At 40.3% G+C, this 22732-nt stretch overlaps 1 protein-coding gene, 1 non-coding gene and 1 pseudogene across 5 annotated transcripts, besides 3 other annotated features; 2 read left to right on the plus strand and 1 right to left on the minus strand.

The window, feature by feature from the left end:
* LOC100505995 (apoptosis-inducing, TAF9-like domain 1 pseudogene) lies at nucleotides 4262-5040 on the plus strand (annotated as a pseudogene).
* Nucleotides 5385-5664: a silencer, noted in NCBI's record as "silent region_17979". NCBI's record gives its function as "represses an Ori minimal core promoter by ATAC-STARR-seq in GM12878 lymphoblastoid cells {active_cell/tissue: GM12878}" and the evidence as "EXISTENCE:reporter gene assay evidence [ECO:0000049][PMID:35858748]".
* Nucleotides 5620-9675, plus strand: ARL4A (ARF like GTPase 4A). Of its 4 annotated transcripts, none has more exons than NM_001037164.3 (2): nucleotides 5620-5760; nucleotides 6883-9675. In NM_001037164.3, exon 2 carries the CDS (start codon nucleotides 6972-6974, stop codon nucleotides 7572-7574), a length of 603 nt encoding a protein of 200 aa, NP_001032241.1. In that variant the 5' UTR covers nucleotides 5620-5760; nucleotides 6883-6971; the 3' UTR covers nucleotides 7575-9675. The 4 variants fall into 4 exon arrangements, with proteins under 4 accessions (NP_001032241.1, NP_997625.1, NP_005729.1 ...); NM_212460.4 differs by having other exon boundaries at nucleotides 6886-9675; NM_005738.5 differs by lacking the exon at nucleotides 5620-5760 and adding an exon at nucleotides 6350-6445.
* Nucleotides 5859-6395: an enhancer, noted in NCBI's record as "H3K27ac hESC enhancer chr7:12726767-12727303 (GRCh37/hg19 assembly coordinates)". NCBI's record gives its function as "activates a minimal SCP1, AML or CMV promoter by ChIP-STARR-seq in naive H9 embryonic stem cells {active_cell/tissue: H9 hESC(naive)}" and the evidence as "EXISTENCE:reporter gene assay evidence [ECO:0000049][PMID:30033119]".
* Nucleotides 5865-5914: a silencer, noted in NCBI's record as "silent region_17980". NCBI's record gives its function as "represses an Ori minimal core promoter by ATAC-STARR-seq in GM12878 lymphoblastoid cells {active_cell/tissue: GM12878}" and the evidence as "EXISTENCE:reporter gene assay evidence [ECO:0000049][PMID:35858748]".
* Nucleotides 9676-19474: 9799 nt separating the features above from the next.
* Nucleotides 19475-19606, minus strand: LOC124900237 (small nucleolar RNA SNORA64/SNORA10 family). The gene has a single exon (XR_007060652.1). It is a non-coding gene; the product is annotated as a small nucleolar RNA SNORA64/SNORA10 family (small nucleolar RNA).
* Between the last annotated feature and the right edge of the window lie 3126 nt (nucleotides 19607-22732).

The following is a 22732-nucleotide window of genomic DNA, read 5'->3' on the forward strand; positions in this document are numbered from 1 at the left end:
TGAGGCCCTGTTGGACTGGATGTTCTGTCAATCATGCCAGTGTAACCAAGTAGTTTAGCTTCAAAATGCATATTGAAACTTTTTTCCTTTCTTGCTTTTAGCCTTGAAACATACTTTAAAACTCTGTCTCCGGCCCTTCACACCAGACACTCCCTTGCCCTGCTAGCTTATCTAATTATGTGCTTACTTAGAAGTTCAAGGGGCCAAAGTTTTTGTTGTTGTTGTTGTTGTTGTTTGTTTTGAGACAGTCTCACTCTGTTGCCCAGGCTGGAGTATAGTGGCACGGTTTCAACTCACTGCAGCCTCCACCTCCAGAGTTCAAGGGATTCTCCTGCGTCAGCCTCTTAAGTAGCTGGGATTGTAGATGCCCACCACCTCGCCTGGCTAATTTTTGTATTTTTAGTAGAGGCAGGGTTTCACCATGTTGGCCAGGCTGGTCTCGAACTCCTGACCTCAAATGATCTGTCCGCCTTGGCCTCCCAAAGTGCTGTAATTACAGGCGTGAGCCACAAGCCCTGGCCCCAGGGCCTAATCTTGAGACAAACTAGACACAAAGACCCAGTTGTGAAATTCCAGAGATTACCTCAAGGTGGTTAATCTACAACCTGGCCATTGTTGAGACTCTGATGCCAGCCTGCACTCCAGGTAGACCATGACTCAAGACAGCCACCAGAACAAGACACATAGACCTTGTACCCAGCACTACTCCCACTTGCCTCCATTCCAGGTTCCCATTTTAAAACTCCTCTCCCCAGCCTAAAGCTTGAGATGGTTCGAGGCCTGAGCCCAGCCATTCTTCCATCTGTCAGCATTTGAAAAAAAGCTGCTTTCCTTTTACATCTCACGTCTCGTGCTTTGACTTCTGAGGCCCAGTGGTAAAAAGGCATCATGCCACACTACACAAGACTCACTTTCTGTGTCCCTATTTCTTATATTTGGATCTGCCTCTTGTAGTGTGGCATAATGCCTTTTTACCACTGGGCCTCCTGGCAGTTGGACCTGCACTCAGGTATGGATATGCATGTGAAGGCTTTTCCAGAGGAAGGGACAAACTGTCCTGTGACTTGAAACTAGGTGGAGCTAGGCCTTGAAGCTGTCCATAAAAGAAGTTCAGGAGGAGGGTTTAGACTTGTGGACTCCGGAAATTCTTATCTAGGACCCATTCCAAGTGAATTTTGGGTTGTACTTCCCTTCTGACATCCTCTTTCTAAAGTTTTGTCAAAAATTGTACCCTGGCTCTATGCTGCCATGGATCAAAATGAATTAACCGAAATGAGAACTCCCTAGAATACAGTGGGTAAGAGAAGAGACTCAGAGCCAGACACAGGAAACAAACTCCTGCTCCACTGCTTTTTAGCTGAAAAATCAGTTAGGAGGTAAATTAGTATAGGTGAGAGGTCACAAAAACCAGATCCAAGTAGTGGAAATGGGAATGGAAAGACATGAATTAAAGGGAGCTTGATAGCTAATCATAAGTGGGATATAGGATAATTTTTTAAATGGCCCTGAAATTTCCACTTGGAACTGCTGAATAAATTGCCGTCAACCAAAACAGGAACTAAAAGAGGAAGGCCATGTGTTTAGCAAGGATGCTAATAAAATGATACAAGGGAATCAATGTTTATATCCCTCTCAATAATTCTCTAAGAAATTCTCTATTATTCTCATAATAAATATGCATGGAAACAACTAAAGTGAGGTATCCTAAACATATACATCTATATCTATCTATACACATACACACACATACACAGGCTGTGGCAAAGGTGAGGAAGGACACGATTTCAGTATGTGCATGCTTAACTTATGTATATCATAAAAAATCAGGCTATGTAAGAGAAGAAGAATGCTACATGCATCTGATTTTTAATTTTTATTTTCATAGATTAAGGGGGTATAAGTGCAGTTGTGTTACATGGATATATTGTGTAGTGGTGAAGTCTGGGCATTTAGTGTCGCCATCACCCAAATAATGTACACTGTACCCAATAGGTAGTATTTCATTCCTCACCCTTCTCCCACCCTTTCACCTTTTGAAGTCACCAATGTCTATGATTCCACTCTACATGTCTATGTGCATCCATTGTTTAGCTTCTACTTAGAAGTCAGAACACAGGCATCAGATTTGATCTGGGTCCTGATATTTAATTCAAAAAGAGAATCAAAGTAAATTACTCAGTTGTAGTTATTTAAAAGGAGAAAACTTACCCATTTCTTATGATTAGTATTTCTTCAAAGTGTCTAATCATTAATTATCTGAAATACTTACTTAAAATACAGATCACTGGCTCCTCTCCTGATGATTCTGATTTGGGGGGGTCTGAAATAGGAGGAACCAGGAATCTATACATTTACAAGCATTAACAGGTGATTCTCATCATTAGCCAAGTTTGGAAAACCACAATTAAAGGTGAGGTTCGCAGAGGCCCTAGTGCCTCAGTACTTTTTCATGGTACCTCAGGCCAAAATAAATAGCCAACATTTCTATTTATGAAATTGATAGATCCAAACTTGATAGTTGTAGTTGTTAATATGGTCCAACAGATGTCACTGTGTTTCCCTCAAAAAGTTAAACTATCCCACAGAACCCCTAGGAATTCTGAGGCACCCCAGAGCACTATTTACAAGCTACAGGCCCTAAAGGGAATTTTTTTCTGGCATAGAATGTAAGTAAAAGCTCTGAATGGGCCTTCTATAAGATCAGGCAACAAAGTGAACCTTGTGTTCCACAAATTCCATTGCTTTTAATATCATTTGTTGCTGTTTTCATATGGTTTTTATATATAGAACAGGCACACCAAACATTTTTCTACAGAGGCAGAGAGCACATTTATTTTGTATGTGTGTGTTGTGGGGGGCATAGATGATCTTGATTGCATATTCTTTTCTTATCCATTCTCTTGCAGCCCTTTAAACTTGTAAAAACCATTCTTATCTCCTGAATTTGACCTACAGGCTGCAGTTTGCCAACCACTACTGTAGTTTTAAAACCTAGGGTATAACATTAAAGTGCAATTCAGTGAGGACGATTCTGCAAGATTGGAAGCCCTCAGTGTTTTTGTTTTCCTTTTTTCCCTTTTTGCTCCAGGGAAGACTGTGCAAGGAACACTGGAAGGACTTAGAGATTTCAAAACTACTGTAAACAGAGGGTGGCCACAGAATTTTCTTGCTCTAAATTCTTGACTTAAGGAGAATCTGCAAGTTATCCCAGTTTAATAAAGAATCCCTATTGAATTTCCAATAAAAGGAAATAGGTTATTGCACTAAGCCCTTTATCAATTATTAGCTGATTATGTGAATGGCTAATGAGATTTCACAATTATAACTAATCAGGCAATCCTTAGTTTATAATAGATTCATGTTTATAGAATATGCCATTTGATATTTCTAGCTCTTATTCCCAAAATTAGTGTGGCTGTCTTGAGATTATGCATTGTGCTCAGAACTTAGGTTTTTACGTCGTTTTTTGTTTTTGTTTTTGTTGTTTTTGAGACGGAGTTTCGCTCTTGTTGCCCAGGCTGGAGTGCAATGCCGCTATCTCGGCTCGGCAACCTCCGCCTCCCGGGCTCGAGCGATTCTCCTGCTTCAGTCTCCTGAGTAGCTGTGATTACAGGCGCCCGCCACCACGCCTGGCTAATTTTTTGTGTTTTTCGTAGAGATGGGGTTTCCCCACGTTGGCCAGGTTGGTCTCGACTTTTTAAAGAATCCGGTATGACAAGTATGCATGTTCCTGTGCTAGTCATAAAAGAAATAAATATCACTGGCAATAGCGGTCTTGAGAAAAACTAGGATATTTCTTGAGGAAACTCCAATCCATATTTAAAAAGAAAAAAAGCACACTTTTAAAAAAGTGTACCATATAGGTTCTTCCAAGTTACAGTCTTACAGCCTTCACCAAAAAGATGTTTGTCGATTAAAGCTTTCCTACAACTTCAAGTCATTACTTCTTTTGCAGGTTGTCATAAGCACCCTGAAATTACCGCTGAAAACATTTTATAAATTTAGTCATCCATAGAGACTCCAATATTCCACAAGGGCAGGGACAGTGTATTTTGCTCACCATTTTATCCCCAAGCACACAGAATTGTGTCTACTGCCTATTAGGTGTTCAATAAATATTTGTGAACTTATTGATCAAAGACAAAATTTAGTCAGAATCATCCAATGAAAAGCATTTTGCATTTGATGACTAGTAGACTTAGATGAACAGTTCCAGGACCACCACTAATTTTCCTTGGGTCATTAGAAACATCCCTTTGGGGCTGCGGAGAGAAAATCCAATCTGGCCGCTGCCCCACAGCCCCTTTCTGTTCTGCGCGTTTGCCTCGCCGTTCTGATGGAGGAGGAGGTGGAGGTGGAGGAGCAGCAGCGATTTTCTTAGCCATTTTCTTACCAACAGAGGCCAAAGGAGGCAGCAGTGGACTACACTGTGGGTTGTCTTTGCGAGGAAGTGGCATTGGGCAGAGATGCAGTTCAGCAAACTTATCATTGCAGCAATTTCGGAGCTGACTTTTCGACAGTGCAAGATCTAGAAATGTGTGCAAGACATGCGAAAACCACCACCATTAACACTGAAGATGTGAAGCTCTTAGCCAGAAGGAGTAATTCACCGCTAAAATACATTCAGACAAAAGTGAAGAGCTTGCGCAGATTAACCTAGAACGAAAGGCACAGAAGACAAAGAAGAGGATGGAAACAAAAATGCAAGGGAGCCAGCAGAGGCTGGAGTACAGGAAAGTTAAGAATTAAACTCTCCCGCTGCTTGGAAAATGCAGCTTTCTGCAGGTAGAGCCACCTAGTATGTATATGGCCACAAAGGGAATTTTGAAGGGATAAATAGAGATTAAAAAAAAAAAAAAGGCTAGATGGCTTTTTGTGTTGTATTTTCCAAGTCGTTAACTGCAAACGCTAGTTTTAAAGAGAACTGGACACTCAATCAAAATACTCCTGTCTCACTCCAGCACATACAAATGGTGTAGTTGAATGGTATATTGGAAATTATATCTATTGCAATTAAAATTGTGTGAGCAATTTGAAAGAAAAGAAAAAAAGAAACATCCCTTTCATCTTTCAGAGTGTATTTCCTTATGTGTCAAACTGGAATATTTCTATCTGTGGCCAGTTCCCCGGGATGCTGCTAGAAACACGTGAGACAGCGCGTTCATTTGCTCTACAAAAAGCGAATGAAGGCGCAGTTACCAGGCCAGTCAACCCAGGCTGTTTAAGGTCAACTACTGGGGGACTTCCACGTCACCTCGATATATACGTAACGCGTGTGTGCCGTAACCCGTGAACTATGGAATCCCTAACCGCGAATCACGTGGCTGCTGCCCCGCGGACGCCCTAGACGACGTGAGGGAAGGCGGTGCCGGGCGGGGCCTGTGCCAGGCTGGCGGGCCGCCGCAGACAGAGCTACCCGGAGCAACCGTTCAGGGGTGAGGCCGGAAGTCCCATCCGACCTCGCGGGCAGCCAGCGCTAGGCCGATTCGAACTCGACCTTGTTTTGGCGTTGCTAGGAGACGCGGCTCCTGCGCGCCCCCTACAGGCCGGCGCCCGGGCGGCGCGCGGGCAGGGGGCGGGGACTGTCGCGTGGAGCTGCCGGGCGAGCACCGTTAGGGCAGCCTGGCGCGCGGCGCCCGCCAGGCGCCCAGTCCTCTGCCATCGCCCACGCCTCCCTGGTGCCAGGGAACAGGTATCAGCGCGCCTCCCCAGCGGCTGGGAGAGACGCTGAATGAAGAAGAGGGAAGGACGGTTAGTCAGGTGAGCCGCGGCGGGGTGGGCGGCCGGGGCGGCCACGCCCTGCCGAGGGAGAAGAGCCGGTCGTGTGCGGAGGGACAGGGTGAAGGGATCCCACTTCGGGGAGGATGGGCTTATCCCGGCGGGCGCGCCAGGTGGGATCTCTAGCGCCTCAGGGGCCCGCGCGGCAACAGCCGGCACCCTCGGGCCCGCGGACAAAGGGTTAACGCGTTGGCAGTGACTGCGGGCCCCGGATGTGAGAGCCTTGGCTTGACGCCCTGGCTGCGCTGCAGGTGCGCCGGGCCGAACGGAGCCGGCAGCCTGGCGGCGACCTGACCGCCCGAGGCTCCCCTTCACCTGCAGCGGCTGCTCGGCTCCCTCTGGGAACGCCGCCTTTTCTAACTTAAGGGCAACAGGTGGTGCCGGTGGACCGAGAGAGAGCTCAGCTCCGCCGCGCTGGGAGCGGCAGTTACCCTCACCAATTAGGGAGCGGGGGCGGGAGTTGCATGGCTTCCCTGATGCGGGTGACCAATGGGATTTGGGATCATGAGTGGACCGGGAGGAGTGGGCGTGGTCGGAGTCTGAGTCCAAGGTTTCTCGTGCGGCAACTGCCAGAGCTGCTTGGAGAGCTAAGCTGGAAGGGTGCTTATCCCTGCGTAGAAACGCCTGCCAATGCTTTCTCATTTGGACCCAGACTCCAGATCGGGAGGTGAGAACGTTGTTATTTTGCAAGGGGTAGGAGGTAATAGTGATCTTGGGTATGCTGTTAAGCATGTGGAATTAGATTCCGAAGATAGGACTATCTGCTATGAGTTTTCTGCCAGATAGGCACTTTGTGGTTACGGCCACTTAGACCAGATACTGGTGACTGGGTTCTTTCCAGAATGAGGTCTTTGAGGTTTGGGGACCCAGGAGAAAAACGTACATATTACTGCAATTTAAGTAAACCAGATAATTTCAATCACTGTTATTCCATCGTTTGTCTTGGACTGTGTGTGTTTTCATGTACGTTTCATATCTCGTCTGGTTTGTTTAGCGCAGCAAGTTATAGTAAGTTCTTCGTGTTGTTTATTTTAGCAAAGTAGAGCAAACCTGTTTTAATGTATTATTTCGGGAGAATAACTTATTCCTTCTTCCGTCTCCCAGCAGTCTTATAGCTGGATCAGCTACCAAGAGAAGTTGTAAACCAAGAAGAGAAAAGCATTTCAATTTGGGACATTTATTTGCACCTGGAAATGGGGAATGGGCTGTCAGACCAGACTTCTATCCTGTCCAACCTGCCTTCATTTCAGTCTTTCCACATTGTTATTCTGGGTTTGGACTGTGCTGGAAAGACAACTGTCTTATACAGGCTGCAGTTCAATGAATTTGTAAATACCGTACCTACCAAAGGATTTAACACTGAGAAAATTAAGGTAACCTTGGGAAATTCTAAAACAGTCACTTTTCACTTCTGGGATGTAGGTGGTCAGGAGAAATTAAGGCCACTGTGGAAGTCATATACCAGATGCACAGATGGCATTGTATTTGTTGTGGACTCTGTTGATGTCGAAAGGATGGAAGAAGCCAAAACTGAACTTCACAAAATAACTAGGATATCAGAAAATCAGGGAGTCCCTGTACTTATAGTTGCTAACAAACAAGATTTGAGGAACTCATTGTCACTTTCAGAAATTGAGAAATTGTTAGCAATGGGTGAACTGAGCTCATCAACTCCTTGGCATTTGCAGCCTACCTGTGCAATCATAGGAGATGGCCTAAAGGAAGGACTTGAGAAACTACATGATATGATCATTAAAAGAAGAAAAATGTTGCGGCAACAGAAAAAGAAAAGATGAATATCAATACCTATTATATCTGTGTGGAGTAGGTTTTCTCTGGTCTGATTTTGACAAATAGAAGAGTGTCTACAGCGTGGTTTGCCTGTCTGCCCTCCTGGATGCTATTAAAGCTTTGTTTTGTTGAACAATCAGATGCCCAACTCTGTTGCCTTGTGGAAGATGAGTAAATGCAGTGCTTCTTAAAGTGGTCTCTTCTCCCTACCCCACAAATCTTTTGGTACTACCATTTGGGGAAGCCAAGCAAGGATAGTAAATTGACCAGAACACAGTTGTGGGAATTTGGTCTGAAGTTAGTGAAATAAAACTTTAAAGAGTGTCTGCCTAGTGTTTTGTGCTTACATCTTTCGGGGGGAAGCCTTTGCAAGAAAATTGCATACAAGGCTTTGTAACGATCAAGTGCTAATCGATGGAAATGTTAAGGTAGATTAACATATATGCAGTTATATTGATCACATTGGTCCAACCAGTCCTTTTTTGAAGTAAGGGACAAGGAGTAAGTATTTTCTTTTTTAAGTTTCTGCCAAATGATTTTTGACGCTTTCTGGAATCAAGTAATTTAATAGTATAGCTTAATTCTAGACAATGTTTAAGTTGGTCTACCTTTATTAAAAATAAGATATTTGGGGTATATTCAAGTGCATGGATTAGTTTTCCTGACAAAGCATGTTTTGGTGTGTAGTCTTACTTTTTAGAAATAGCTATGCATCGTTCTACACAGGTTTAAAACAACTTTTTTGGGGATTTAGGGCTATTATAGGAATAGTTTGTTGTCAGAAGCACTTTCACTTGAAGAACCTAAAATGATTGACTCATTCATAGTAAATATGGGCATGTAAACTAATAAATATGCACTGGATACATATATGGATTTATGAAGAAGGCGATTTAGTCAAGAGGATGTAATTAAAATATGTGGTCTCTAAAATATTCCAGTTACAAGATATTTGTTTTATTAATATTTGCTGGCTAAAAACAAATGTGGTTTTTATATATTTTTGTAGTGTGTTGAGAAGAGCAAAAGCTTTATAAATATACCTGATGCGCTGTAGAATGAAAATGTAAAAGATAACCTGTATGTGTTCCGAGCTTTAATTTTTTGTTTACAAATTGAACAGTGTTACATGGGCTGTCCAGTCCTGATTATAGAGAGGAAGAAATGGTAACAGTATGGCAGATAAGAATTACAATTATAGAAAATGAGGGGAAAATAACAAACCTGTTTTATGAAAATTCACTGGTGCTGTTTACATTGGAATAAAAAGCTCTATAAGGAGGAAAGGCCTTTATCTAATTCTTATCTACAGACACTTACTTCCAGTGACCATATTTTACTAAATCAGCTTATTTTTTATGTCTAAAGCAACAGCTGTTCTGAAAAATCACCAAAAGAAATGCACTTTGCTAGCAGGATTTGTTTTGGCTTTGGGTTTTGTTTTTTTGTTTTTTTTTTTTTTCAGTGGCATAACAGTTTTTGGAACCTTGATTCTTGTGTCACACAAAATGAATGAAGTAGCTTGATGTGGAGCCTTCATATGTTAAATATTCCTGCACTAGTGATGGTCACTTAGAATGTTTATAGAAATGTGGATAATAACTACCAATAAACTACTTGAGGCACTAGGAGAACAGTATTTGACTTTGAATTTTAATGTATTTCCACTTTTGCTGAAGCTTTTAATCAGATGTGTAAAAACAATTGACCAGCTAGGCTATTTAGTCCCATAGTAGTTCAGATCTGCTTAGATGTGACAGGCATTGAAGGCTGTTTTTTTTTTTTTCTCCCTTCACTGATACTGAAATCATGGTATCTGCTGCAAACATGAGTAGATCCATGATGGATTAATAAAGCTTGCTGAAAAAAAAAATCTGTGTATCAATTAGATTTACCAGTTTGCCTGTACTTTCTGTCTACCTACTATGTAAAATAGTGCTGTTTTTAAGTATTTCAAAAGCTTGTGTGTTGACCCTTTGTAGCCTAAGTACGTAAACAAATTAATGTTATCTAAGTTTTTCATATTTCATGGACAACAAAAGAGAAAATGGTATGAACACTGTACAAACTTTGATTTATAAAAGACAATTTCAGCTATAAAACCCATCCTAAGATTTTCTAGCTTGCTAAGTTCAAGTTCCCTACCGCCTATTCTAGTTATTAACACTGTAGTATAATGAGTCTTTAAATTCTGAAGAGTTTAGACTATGCTTTCATATCTAGTTTCTTCTTATGGCGCACCTTTTCTAGTGCATAGTTCTAAAATATTTTCTTGTATTTGAAGTTACTTGGTTTAATACAAAATATTAAGGACTGCTCAACTGAATCCAAGTTAATATCAAAGAACAAAGTGTAAGAAAAATAAAACCTTTTGATAGTTAAAGATAATTTTTAAAATGTGCAGAGTTCTTAAAATGGTTTATAAATGGTATTCTTAAACCATCAGAAGTTTACTAAGACTTAATCATGGAAAAATGAACTAAATCTTTATAGGGAGACAAAAAAATGAAGTTATTAATGTAAATATATATATAATATATAAGAATAATTACTGGTCTGTAAATGAGTGATGGTTTATCAACAGAGGGAAAGGCATAGACTTTGTTTGTACAAGGCATTTTTTTTTTTTTTTTGAGACAGAGTCTTGCTCTCTTGCCCAGGCTGTAGTGCGGTGGCACAATCTCAGCTTACTACAACCTCTGCCTCCTGTATTCAAGTGATTCTCCTGTCTTAGCTTCCCAAGCAGCTGAGATTACAGGCACACCACCATGCCCAGCTAATTTTTATTTTTAGTAGAGATGGGGTTTCGCCATGTTGGCCAGGCTGTTCTTGAACTCCTGACCTCAGGTGATCCACCCGCCTCAGCCTCCCAAAGTGCTGGGATTACAGAAAGTAGCCACCATGCCCAGCCTGTACAAGACATTTGATGCAAGGATTGTTCCATTAATAATTCATGGTGACCTTGAAGGAAATCTTTGGTTTTTCAAGATTCTATTTAATACAACAATTTCCTCTGTAATGTAAACAATGATTTCATCAGCGATAATAAAGATGCAAAAAAAGTTTTATCAAACTTTATATGATGTAAAAACTCAGCATTCAGCTGATGCAATTGAGAATCTTGAGTACACCATCATTTGAAGCTGGAATTTTACCTTTAAGGTTTAAATTTGGCGGAACATTCTGGAAATGTAAAATCATAATGTTAATATTAAAATCTATGAAGATCAGAAGTAATAGTCTCAACAAACCATAGCCAGAGTATGTATTCAATTCTGTGCATGCACATTAAAAATATGGGAATACCTGTACAGGAAGCTAGTTTAGGAGGATGTTAAATGTACTGGCTAAAAACATGAGCTTTGGAGTCAGATCAGTGTTCAAATCCTGGCTCTCCCGTTATTACACATGAACCTTTAGCAAATTCCTTGAAACTTATGATGAGAATGCCCTCCTGGTTAAATGAAGACTGTTTCATAGAATTTTGAGAGTGTTGAAATAACATGTACAAACTTTCACATATTGCCAAGCATTTGATAAAAACTGACCTACTATTGTTAACCAGTAGGAATCAATATGTTTATTATTTCATCTGGGGCAATTTACTTGCAGCCTTAGTTTCTTAATTTGTAAAGTGTGGGTTATATATATCTACCACTGGGGTATAACTGATTAAAAGGATTAAATCAAGCAATGATATTTAGCAGAGTAACTGACACTTTAGTAAGCATTCAATTGATAGTTATTAATAGCCAGAATACCTTATGATCAACGTATTTAAAGAAAATACTTGTTTTGGCAGGGGAATATAACATAGTGAGCTCATACATGTCACAAAATGGCAACTTGGTGGAACTTAGTGAAAGTCTAAATATGCTGAACTCCCTTGAAATATGGATCATTTCAAGGGATCATATGGTACTTAGGTTTCTAAAGTACCAATTTATTGTAACACAATATTATCTTACCTTTCCCTGTAAGAGATAAAATTTAATTTAAAATCTCGGTTATTTTCTGGTGTAGGCATATATCAAAATACAATACCTCACTTTTCAGACATTAAAATTTGAAACTATATATTATGGTTCTTCAAAATGCCTCAAGATTGTTATCTATAATTCACAAATTTGATCGAATGATAAGATCAAATTTGCAGTATCTGTGGGCACATCTGGTTGATGATGGTGGTTGTGTTTGTGGGTGATTATGTGTGCTGTGTTATTTTCCAGTTACTTTCAGTCTTTGGTCTTGTTTTATGTCTCCTGTTTATGTTGCACTGAAGTGGAGATTACCTGTATTAGTGGTTGAAGAGAGATGTTGAAGTTGATTCATTTCAGTGAAGGTCTACCTTTAGATAAAATCTTAACTTTTTGTTATGACAGATTTCAATCTTATACAGAAGTAGAATAATATAACAAACACCCAAGTATCTGTCATCTAGTTTCATTAATTATCAACTCAGGGCCAATCTGGTTTCCTCTATACTTCCATTCACTTCCTTCCATGCCACCTTCCTTTTTCCTCCACTTCTAGATTATTTTGAAGTGAGTTCTGGAAATTACATTTCATTTATAAATAGTGGTATATGTGTCTAAAAGATAATCACTTAAAAAAATTTCACTCACATGTAAAAAAAATATGCTTCTTCAAAATAACCAAATATCCATCCAGTGTTTAGATTTCTATTATTATTATTATTTGAGACAGAGTCTTGCTCTTTTCACCCAAGCTGGAGTGCAATGGCATGATCTCAGTTAACTGCAACCTCAGTCTCCTGGGTTCATGCCATTCTCTTGCCTCAGTCTCCCCAGTATCTAGGATTACAGACACTTGCCACCATGCAGGGCTAATTTTTGTGTTTTTAGTAGATACGAGGTTTCACCATGTTGGCCAGGCTGGTCTCGAACTCCTAACCTCGTGAACCTCCCAACTCGGCCTCTCAAAGTGCTGGGATTACAGGCGTGAGAATACAGAAAATTAGCTGGGCGTGGTGGTGCATGCCTGGAGTCCCAGCTACTCGGGAGGCTGAGGCAGGAGAATTGCTTGAACCCAGAAGGCGGAGGTTGCAGTGAGCCAAAATTGCGCCATTGCCCTCTAGCCTGGGTGACAAGAGCGAAACTCCATTTCAAAAAATATATATATATTTGATATATTGATATATTTCTATCTCTTGCAGCTTATTATTCCCATTTATGCATAAATTGTCTCATCTTTAGAGAGAACTGAGTCTTTTTCACAGAACCCTAGTAGTTTTTGATGGCTTTTTTGATTTCTCATTTAACACAAAGTCCCTTAACCTGTACATTTCCTGTCCCAGATCTGTTTTTCTAGGATGCCAGGTTCCTTGTATTAGGAAATGGTATTTAGAGTCCACAGTCTATTACTGGATTTGTCATTGTTTCTAGGCCTTTTCAGTGGATAGTACTAGAACTCTATTTTTTTAAGATTAGATACATTATTAATTCACAGTGATAGTTCCAATTCAAAGATTTACATTCAGAATGATAAGGCATTTATTTAGTTTCAGTGATATTATTATCTCTTTTCACTCATGCCAAAAATATTAGTTATGAGCAACACACAGTTGTTTATTTGCTTTATTCCACTTTAATCTCAATGCAATACTACTGTCAATAATTTGATGACTGGTAGTGGTTTAAGAATGTTGTAGTTACCTTTGTCCTTTAGGTATATCTCACTGGAGGTAAATTCTTGTATTTTAAGGTCACTTGGAATTGTTATTTTATGTGGGATTATGTTTTAGATATATTTGTTTCACAAAATCTCTTACTTGCTTTGTAGACATGTTGAGTCTGGTTTATTTAATATATACAGTTCTTCAAGTATATTTAAAAATACTGAATTTGGGACAAAAAATTTTACACACAATACTTTAGGAACCTCTCTTTTAAAATTGATGTACATGAATATTTTCCACAATCATGAGGAATTTTTTCTAGGCAATATTTTTCTTCTCAGTTCAAGCAGTAGAATTGTTTTGTGAAAATTTAAGTAATTTACATGGAAGACATCTGATATATAACAGCCCTCTGATTGAAAAAGAACTCTTCCTGTTGCAGCTCTTTGTAATGTCAACGAGAATCTGAATATTTGTTTTATGGGGTTTTTTCTTTGTTCCTTTTTAGTGCAGAAACTGAATAACTAAACAGCAGGGGATTAGAAATTGTGGGCATCCAGTGGGCTGTTGTATTTCTTAAGTATTCAGATGAAAAGTGCTTGTTTCCCTTAATCTGTCATCTACCTGAAGATACCCAGAAATGGGTGAGTGACAAAATGGAGTTCCCTAGAATGACATTTTTCTAAACTGGCTATACTTCAGAATGACTTAAGGAGCTCTTGAGATTCCTACACTTCACTTCAGACATTTTGAATGGAATCTTTAGGAAATGGGTCCAGTAATTTATATTCCACCTCTTTGTAGGATGTTTTTTAAACACACCTAGATCAGCCAGATTTAGAAACCATTGTTTTGGAACTTAAAAATTGTGGGCTGGGGATGCCAGAGGGATAATACTTTTAGTGGCAGGAATAAAGGGATCATAAATAGAACTGGCCTAGTGAAACTTTACCTGTCTTAGACCCTTTTCTTCTACATAGTGGAATGTTTTTCATTGGCTTGACATTTATGTCATAATAACCAAACAGAATGCTGTCTGATCCAGGGATGTCTCAGATCAGATGGCTTAGGAGAAATCTGAGCAACCCCAGGGAAAGGCAATATGGAATAGACACTTTTCCTTTTACTAATTTTATATATATTGTATGCTTAATAGGTGATATCTTAGAAATTTACAAATAGTCCTGCCCATCTCACAAGAGACCAGTTAAAGCTTTAGAGATGAAGTACTATTAATAAGTAGTGCCTACAGTGTTGTTTTTTCTGTAACCCTTTTGAGAACTTTGAATGTCACGGGTTTCAATGATGATAGCCAATTATTTTGAGGACTAGCAGATATGGTAAGGAAAAATCAAAGACCTATCACAGTAGGAATACTTGAAGAAAACGGGCAGATCCAAATGGCTTATAACCAATAGGCTAAACCCAAGATGCATTTGATTCATCAAATAAGTAAAACACGTTCAGTCTATTCTATAAAGAAAGATGGTCTTTCTTGCTTGATCAATCTGTCAGCAGCTCTCATGTTAGAAACTGGGTGTTTATGTTAAATTATACAGGTAGAGTATTGACATGTATTAGCTGTGTAACTGAATGCAAGTTACTTAATTTCTCTTAGCTACAGCCTTCTCACCTTTAAATGGCAACATTATCTCTCTTACAAGGTTATTTATGAAGGAAGCTTTATGAGTCATCTGGCATGATTTCTAGCAAGTAGACCAAACATTCACTCAGGTATATGAACAACTGCCTCATGCTGCCAGGTGTTTAGAATATAGCAATCACCAAAACAGAAGGGTAGTTTGTCTCTTTCCTACTCTAGAAAGTAAGCTCCACAGGGACGGGGCATTTATCCATTGCCATATCCCTAGCTCTTATAAACCACACAGCACATACTAAACACTCACATATGTGCATAGTTAACAAATAAATGAAGCTTAATTCTAAAGGGATATCAGACAAAAGTTAATAAAATAGGCCGGGCGTGGTGGCTCACGCCTGTAATCCCAACACTTTGGGAGGCCGAGGTGGGTGGATCACGAGGTCAGGAGATCAAGACCATCCTGGCTAACACGGTGAAACCACATCTCTACTAAAAATATACACACAAAAAATTAGCCGGGCATGGTGGCACGCGCCTGTGGTCCCAGCTACTCAGGAGGCTGAGGCAGGAGAATGGCATGAACCCAGGAGGTAGAGGTTGCAGTTAGTAAAATAAAAAATGTGAAAAGTGCTATGAAGGAAACAGAGGGCTAAGGATGAGAAAACAATAGGGGTGACTTTCACTGGATAAAGTGGTTGGAGATTTTTCTGATTTATCTAAAGAGCTATGAGAAGAGTAGAAGAAAGAGCATCTCAGGCAGAGGGAACTTTATTTGCAAGGGCCCTGAGATGGAAAATCACTGAACCGAGTAGACTAAGTATGCTTAGAACTGGTGAGCAATCGACAGAATGGCAGGATATGAAGTTGCAAAATCAGAATAGAGCATTTACCTGTCTGACAATTGTATTTTTAATGATAGTTTGCTTTTACTTGGTCTTTATATATTTAATTACAAATTACTGATATTTTGTTTAAATCTACCACATTTTTCCATTTGACTGTTTATTTTTATGTCCTTTCTTTCTTTTAGATTAAGTCTTTTTTCTTCTCACCCCCTCACCCCTCCCCCCTGGTTATACATTCTTTTACTATTCTTTTTGTTATTCCATAGTTGCAGCATACATCTTTTTTTTTTTTTTTTTTGGAGTCTCGCACTGTCACCCCGGGCTGGAGTGCAGTGGCGTGATCTCGGCTCGCTGCAACGTCTGCCTCCCGGGTTCGAGCGATTCTCCTGCCTCAGCCTCCCAAGTAGCAGGGATTACAGGCGCCCACCACCACGCCTGGCTAATTCTGTATTTTTAGTAGAGATGAGGTTTCACTATGTTGGCCAGGCTGGTCTCCTGACCTCGTGATCCACCTGCCTCAGCCTCCCAAAGAGCTGGGATTACAGGCATGAGCCACCGCACCTGGCCTGCAGCATACATCCTTAGCTGAGTAAAGCTTAATGTAAATTAGTACATTTACCACTTCTACTTTTTGGACAATATAAAAACATAAAACTTTTTACAACTGTATTTACCACCTTCCCCACTTGCTTCCCCCTGTGATATATGGGTTTTTTTGTTTTGTTTTGTTTTGTTTTGTTTTTGAGACAGAGTCTTGCACTGTAGCCTAGGCTGGAGTGCAATGACACAGTCTAGGCTCACTGCAGCCTCCACCTCCAGGGTTCAAGTGATTCTCCTGCCTCAGCCTCCTGAGTAGCTGGGACTACAGGCACGTGCCACCACACCCGGCTAATTTTGTTGTTGTTGTTGTTGTATTTTTTTTAGTAGAGACGGGGTTTCATCGTGTTAGCCAGGATGGTCTCGATCTCCTGACATTGTGATCTGCCCGCCTCAGCCTCCCAAATTGCTGGGATAACAGGTGTGAGCCACCGTGCCCGACCCACACCTGGCTAATTTTTGTATTTTTAGTAAAGACGGGATTTCACCATGTTGGCCAGGCTGGTCTCAAACCCCTGGCCTCATGATCTGCCCGCGTTGGCCTCCCAAAGTGCTGGGATTACAGGCATGAGCCACTGTACCCCAATGACTTTTGTTTTTGAATTTTTAGCTCAACACATTTAAGATCCTCGAGACATGACTATTATTACTTTTTGCATATTTATCCTTTCTGTACTAATTTTTTTTCTTTAATCTCTAGAGGTTCATTAGAATTAAAATCTAGCAAAACTTTAATTTTGGGGTCTGTGATCATTTTTCTTCTGTCTGAAGAACTTACTTTAGTATTTTCTCAGTACAGATTCTAAATACAGATTCTTTCCTTTTTGGTTTCTGAAAAGATTTATTTAGTTTTACTTTTAAGTGATATTTTCTGTGTGTACAGAATTTCAAGGTTGGCATTCATTTTCTTTTAGTACAGTTGATTCTTGAACAAGGAGGGCATTAGGAGCACTGACCCCTACACAGTTGAAAATCTGTGTGTACCTTTTGACTCCCTTAATTTTTTTTTTTTTTTTTTTTTTGAGATGGAGTCTCGCTCTGTCGCCCAGGCTAGAGTACAGTGGTGTGATCTCGGCTCACTGCAACCTCCTCCTCCCGGGTTCAAGCAATTCTCCTGCCTCAGCCTCCTGAGTAGCTGAGACTACAGGCAGGCACCACCATGCCCAGCTAATTTTTGCATTTTTAGTAGAGACGAGGTTTCACCATGTTGGCCAGACTGATCTCGAACTTCTGACCTTGTGATCCGCCCACCTCGGCCTCCCAAAGTGCTGGGATTACAGGCGTGAGCCACCGTACCTCGCTCACTGCCTTAAAAATTTAACCACTAATAGCCTACCATTGGCCAGAAGTCTTACTGATAACAAAAAGAAAATTAACACATAATTTGTATGTTATTTGTATTATATGCTGTATTCGTACAATAAAGTAAGCTAGAGAAAAGAAAATGGTATTGAGAAAATCATAAGGAAGAGAAAATAGATGACATAAGTACTGTACTGTATTGATTGATACTGTAAGGTTATGTCATCTGTTTATAAGACGAATAGTCTGCCTGAAATACAGCTTCAGACCTCAATCTATGGTATATATCCAGATTTTCAACTTTTCCTTTTAATGTCATAACTTTTCTCTGCTTTTTGAGCGCTCTTCCAGCACCACTTGGGGCACTTCATATGATTCCCATGTTTCTTATTCAAGGTTTAGGGTATTGCAGTAGACATGGTGAAAAACAAGTGAGAACCGTGAGGGATCACTTTTTACTGCAATACGCAATTTACTGGAGAGACAACTGCTCACACGGTAGTGATTAGCGTGACATGACTTTTTTTTTTTTTTTTTGAGCCAGAGTTTTACTGTCGCCCAGGCTGGAGTGTAGTGGTACAGTCTCGGCTCACTGCAACCTCCGCCTCCCAGTTTCAGGTGATTCTCATGCCTCCGCCTCCCAAGTAGCTGGGATTCCAGGAGTGCGTCACCATGCCCGGCTAATTTTTGCATTTTTTGCTAGAGATGGGATTTCCCCTTGTTGGCCTCTACCCACCTCAGCCTCCCAGAGTGCTGGGATTACAGGTGTGAGCATGACACAACATTTTAAGTGGATACTCACAACACTTGAGCTTACTGCAATAGCCACAGCAGGTGGCTACGAAATTGTTACAGTAGTAAGATATGTACTACAGTGAATTTTATGCAATTATGATTGAATACGGCATCTTTATTTTTGTTTACATTTCTGTCAACAGCAAGTGGTGTCATGTATGGTCTGTAAATGTGTGAGGGAAAGTTTTGGTAAATTTTAACTTTTTATAAAAGATGTGTATATTTTAGGATGGTAAATAATAAAATAGACTATGTCTACATATATTTTATGCATTCATGACATACCTTTTTAAAAGTTTTTTGCTTTTCTAGGTGATGCAGTTCATCTGTGAGTTTTTCAATTTGCTCCGAATCTCCAAAAATTTTTCTAATATATTTTCTAAAAAAAATCTGCCAAAGTATGTCAGGAGAGTGGGGAAAGAAATTCAAAGTATTTTTGAGAAAGTGAGCTATCCTCTCAACAACAATAATCACAGACAGAAGATTTCTGTGACAAAATGTGTGGGGATTTCTCCTCACCAGCAAGCAAGCAAGCCATCAATTCTGCAGCACAAACCACCTAGGTGTCCTCCAATTCAAGTCAATTCTCACACTATTTTCCTGCACATAAGACCACAGGTTGAAGCCAGGTGCGGTGGCTCACACCTGTAATCCCAAGACTTTGGGAGGCTGAGGCAGGTGGATCACCTGAGGTCAAGGGTTCAAGACCAGCCTGGCCAATGTGGTGAAACCCCATCTCTACTAAAAATACAAAAATTAGCTGGGCACGGTGGCAGGCGGCTGTAGTCCCAGCTACTTAGGAGGCTGAGGCGGGAGAATTGCCTGAACATGGGAGGCGGAGGTTGCCGTGAGCCGAGATGCACCATGGCACCCCAGCCTGGGCGACAAGAGTGAAACTCTGTCTCAAAAAGAAAAAAAAAACACAGGTTGAGGGCTCAGTGCCCAAGACCGCCCCTGATCCTCATCAGTCACAAGTCTGGGCCTGTGGAACTTCTGACCTGCCAGCTTCAATGTGGAGTTTCCACACCCTCTCTTTGGGTTTGATTAATTTGCTAGAGTGGCTCGCAGAATTCAGGGAAACTGAATATATAAGTTTATTTCCTTGCTTTTTTTTTTTCCTCCTGCTTTTGTTGCACCCTTCAAGGAAAGAGGCCACCATAAGGCCGAGCTGAGGTACCAAGGGGACCTTCTCTCTCTCTTCCCATTGCAAAAGTCACACAAGTGAAGCCAGGTGTAACTATACATAGCTGAGAGTGTTATTTACTGGTTTATTACAAAGGGTATTACAAAGGATGTAGGTGAAGAAATTCACAGGGCAAGGTATAGGGGAAGAGGTTCAGGGTGTCCATGCCCTTCCTGACCACCAGCCTCCAGGAGCCTCCAATGTGTTCAGCTATCCAGAAGCTCTTGAAACCCAGTCTTCTTGTGTCTTTTATGGAGGCTTCACTGGATAGGCAAAATCGACAGCTGTGTAGAAATGTGATTAGACACAAAATGTATGATCTAATACTAATAGGCTGAGTGGGAAAACCCAGCAAGGTCTATCTGTTCAGATTCTTTTTGTCCTCTCTCTGCTACATTCTTTCCTCCAGGGAATGGGGCAGGACCTCTTCTGAAATGGGTGTCTTATGACCTACAATCACATAAGTCAGAGAATTTCTTTATGGCCAGCTCTAAGACAGAAAGGCAGGGAAGATTTCTGACTTTGGAAGAGGAGGAGCAGATGAAAGGAGGCAGGAGGTAAGAGAGATTCTGTTTTCTGAGGCCTGTTATCTGAGGTTTTAAGTGCCCCAACATTATAACTAAAGACTGTAACAAGGGATATGGGAGTTATAAGCCAGGAACTATGGACAAAAGCCCATATATATAGATATTATAAAATCTATTTATATATATCTCATAATATCACACGTCATTCTATTTTCTTCTTGTTTCCATTGTTTTTGTTGGGAGGTCAGCTGTTGGTCTAATTTTTGCTCTTGTGAAGGTAGTATGTCGTTTATTCTCTGGTTGCTTATAAGATTTTTCTTTGTTTTTAGCTTTTGCAGTGGGACTATGTGTCTAGGGATGGTTTTCTTTGTACTCTTTTGTTAGAGCTTTGTAGAGCTTCTTGAATACATGGCTTGAAGCACCTGTCAGATAACATCAACATCTAGGTATCTATGGGTCTCTCTCTTATTTTAATCAACTTTTGCCCTTTTACATTTCTTCTTTTTATCTGATTGACTGCCAAACATTGTAAATAAAAATTTTAGTTATGATTTGAGGCTCAGTAGGATTTTAGTTATGATTTGAGGCTCAGTAGGGTGTTATCTTTCCCCAGAGAGATTTTATTTTTGTTACTGGCAGCAAGGGTTGAGTTAGATCACCTCTGTGGGTTTGATTTATTTCAGATCTTTCCCCCACATTTTCACTTTCTTTGTAGCTCTCTGATGCCTTCAAACAGTTAAAAAACAAAAATTGTCTAGTTTTTCCAGTTCTCTCAGCTGGAAGATTGTTCTGAAACAGTAAAAAATAAATTTTATTCTAAAAACAGTAGGAAGATACTAAAAAGTTTTAAGTAAAGAATTGACATAACCTGATTTCCATTTTAAAATGAACTTAATTAGTTGTTTCGTCATATCTTTCCTTAAAATGTCCCCAAAGCTTTCTTTTACCTACATTTCTGTTGTTATCATCCTGGTCTAAACTCTATCTAAGTCACTAACTTGGATTATTGTTTTTTGGTTTTTTGTTTTTGAGACTGAGTCTCGCTCTGTCACCCAGGCTGAAGGGCAGTGGCATGATCTCGGCTCACTGCAACCTCCGCCTCCCAGGTTCCGGCAATTCTCCTGCCTCAGCCTCCTGAGTAGCTGGGATTACAGGTGTGCACCACCACCCTCGGCTAATTTTTGTATTTTTAGTAGAGGCGGGGTTTCACCATGTTGGTTAGGCTGGTCTTGAATTCCTGACCTTGTGATCAGCCTGCCTTGGCCTCCCAAAGTGCTGGGATTACAGGCATGAGCCACTACACCCGGCCGGATTATTGTTTTTATCTCACTTTCTTGGTCTCCTGAAAGCCATCTAACATATCGATGTTAGATTCTTTATCCAGAGATTTGATTTCTTTTATGTCTGGATTTGCAAATTAAAAATAGCTATGAAGGCCAGGTGTGGTGACTCATGCTTGTAATCCCAGCATTTTAGGAGGACAAGGCAGGTGGGTCACTAGAAGTCAGGAGTTCGAGAGCAGCCTGGGCAACATGGAGAAACCCCATCTCTACTAAAAATACAAAAGTTAGCTGGCTGTGGTGGCACACACCTGTAATTTCAGGTATTTGGGTGGCTGAGGCATGAGATTTGCTTGAATGGGTGAGGCAAAGGTTGCAGTGAGCTAAGATCATGCCACTACCACCAGCTTGGGCAACTGAGAGAGTCTGTCTCAAAAAAGAAAAAGCGATGGGATTTTTAAAGTAGCACTATTAGTCACACAGAAAAGCAAATCAACTTAAGATCATTAATTAACTTGCTGAAAGTTACACAGTTAAGGCAGAGCTACCTGTTGAATCTGGATCTCTTTAATTTTAGAACTTATATCAATTATTTCATATTGTAGATATGCATTCAAATTATATTTTCTTTAAATGAAGCAGCATTTATATTCTTTTGCTGCTAAAAAAATACTTAAAATTTAAGTAATAATAAAAAGTTAAAACTTTTATCGTTTGTGCTCATTGATGTCAAAGTTGCTTGAGCTGAAGTTGAGTAAAGAGTTTTCAAACCAAGTGACTGGTGCTTTCAGAATGGCAGAAACCATACTGGGAATGAGGCCATCCAGGAGGAAACCCTTCTCTGTGAACATCTGAGTTTTTTTTTTTTTTTTTTTTTTTTTTTGTATTTTCTTTTTTTCAATTAGAGATTCAGGGATTTAAAATCCCATAAATAAAAAGTCCTGGGCTGGGCGTGGTGGCACACGCCTGTAATCCCAGCAATTTGGGAGGCTGAGGCGAGTGGGTCACCTGGGGTCAGGAGTTTCAGACCAGCCTGGCCAACATGGCGAAACTCCATCTCTACTAAAAATATAAAAATTAGCTGGGAGGCTGAGGCAGGAGAATTGCTTGAGTTCTGGAGGCGGAGGTTACAATGAGCCAAGGTTGTGCCATTGTGCCACTGCACTCCAGCCTGGGCCATACAACAAGACACTGTCTCCAAAAAAAAAAAAAAAAAAAAAAAAAAAGTCCTGGATATGGGTAAATAAGACTATAGAGATATTTAGCCAAAACAGCATGAGAAAGTGCATATTCTTTCTTTCACCTATATATTAGTTCCATCATTCTTCTATAATAGATCTGTAACGCATGAGGAAACTATGAAAAGCTACCATGTTAGGGGTGAAAAAAAAGG

Source organism: Homo sapiens, chromosome 7 (genome assembly GCF_000001405.40).
Source record: "Homo sapiens chromosome 7, GRCh38.p14 Primary Assembly".
NCBI classification, from domain to species: Eukaryota; Metazoa; Chordata; class Mammalia; order Primates; family Hominidae; genus Homo; species Homo sapiens.

Coding starts and splice junctions, on each gene's coding strand:
- ARL4A (NM_001037164.3), top strand. CDS start 6,972: ATGGGGAATGGGCTGTCAGACCAGACTTCTATCCTGTCCAACCTGCCT.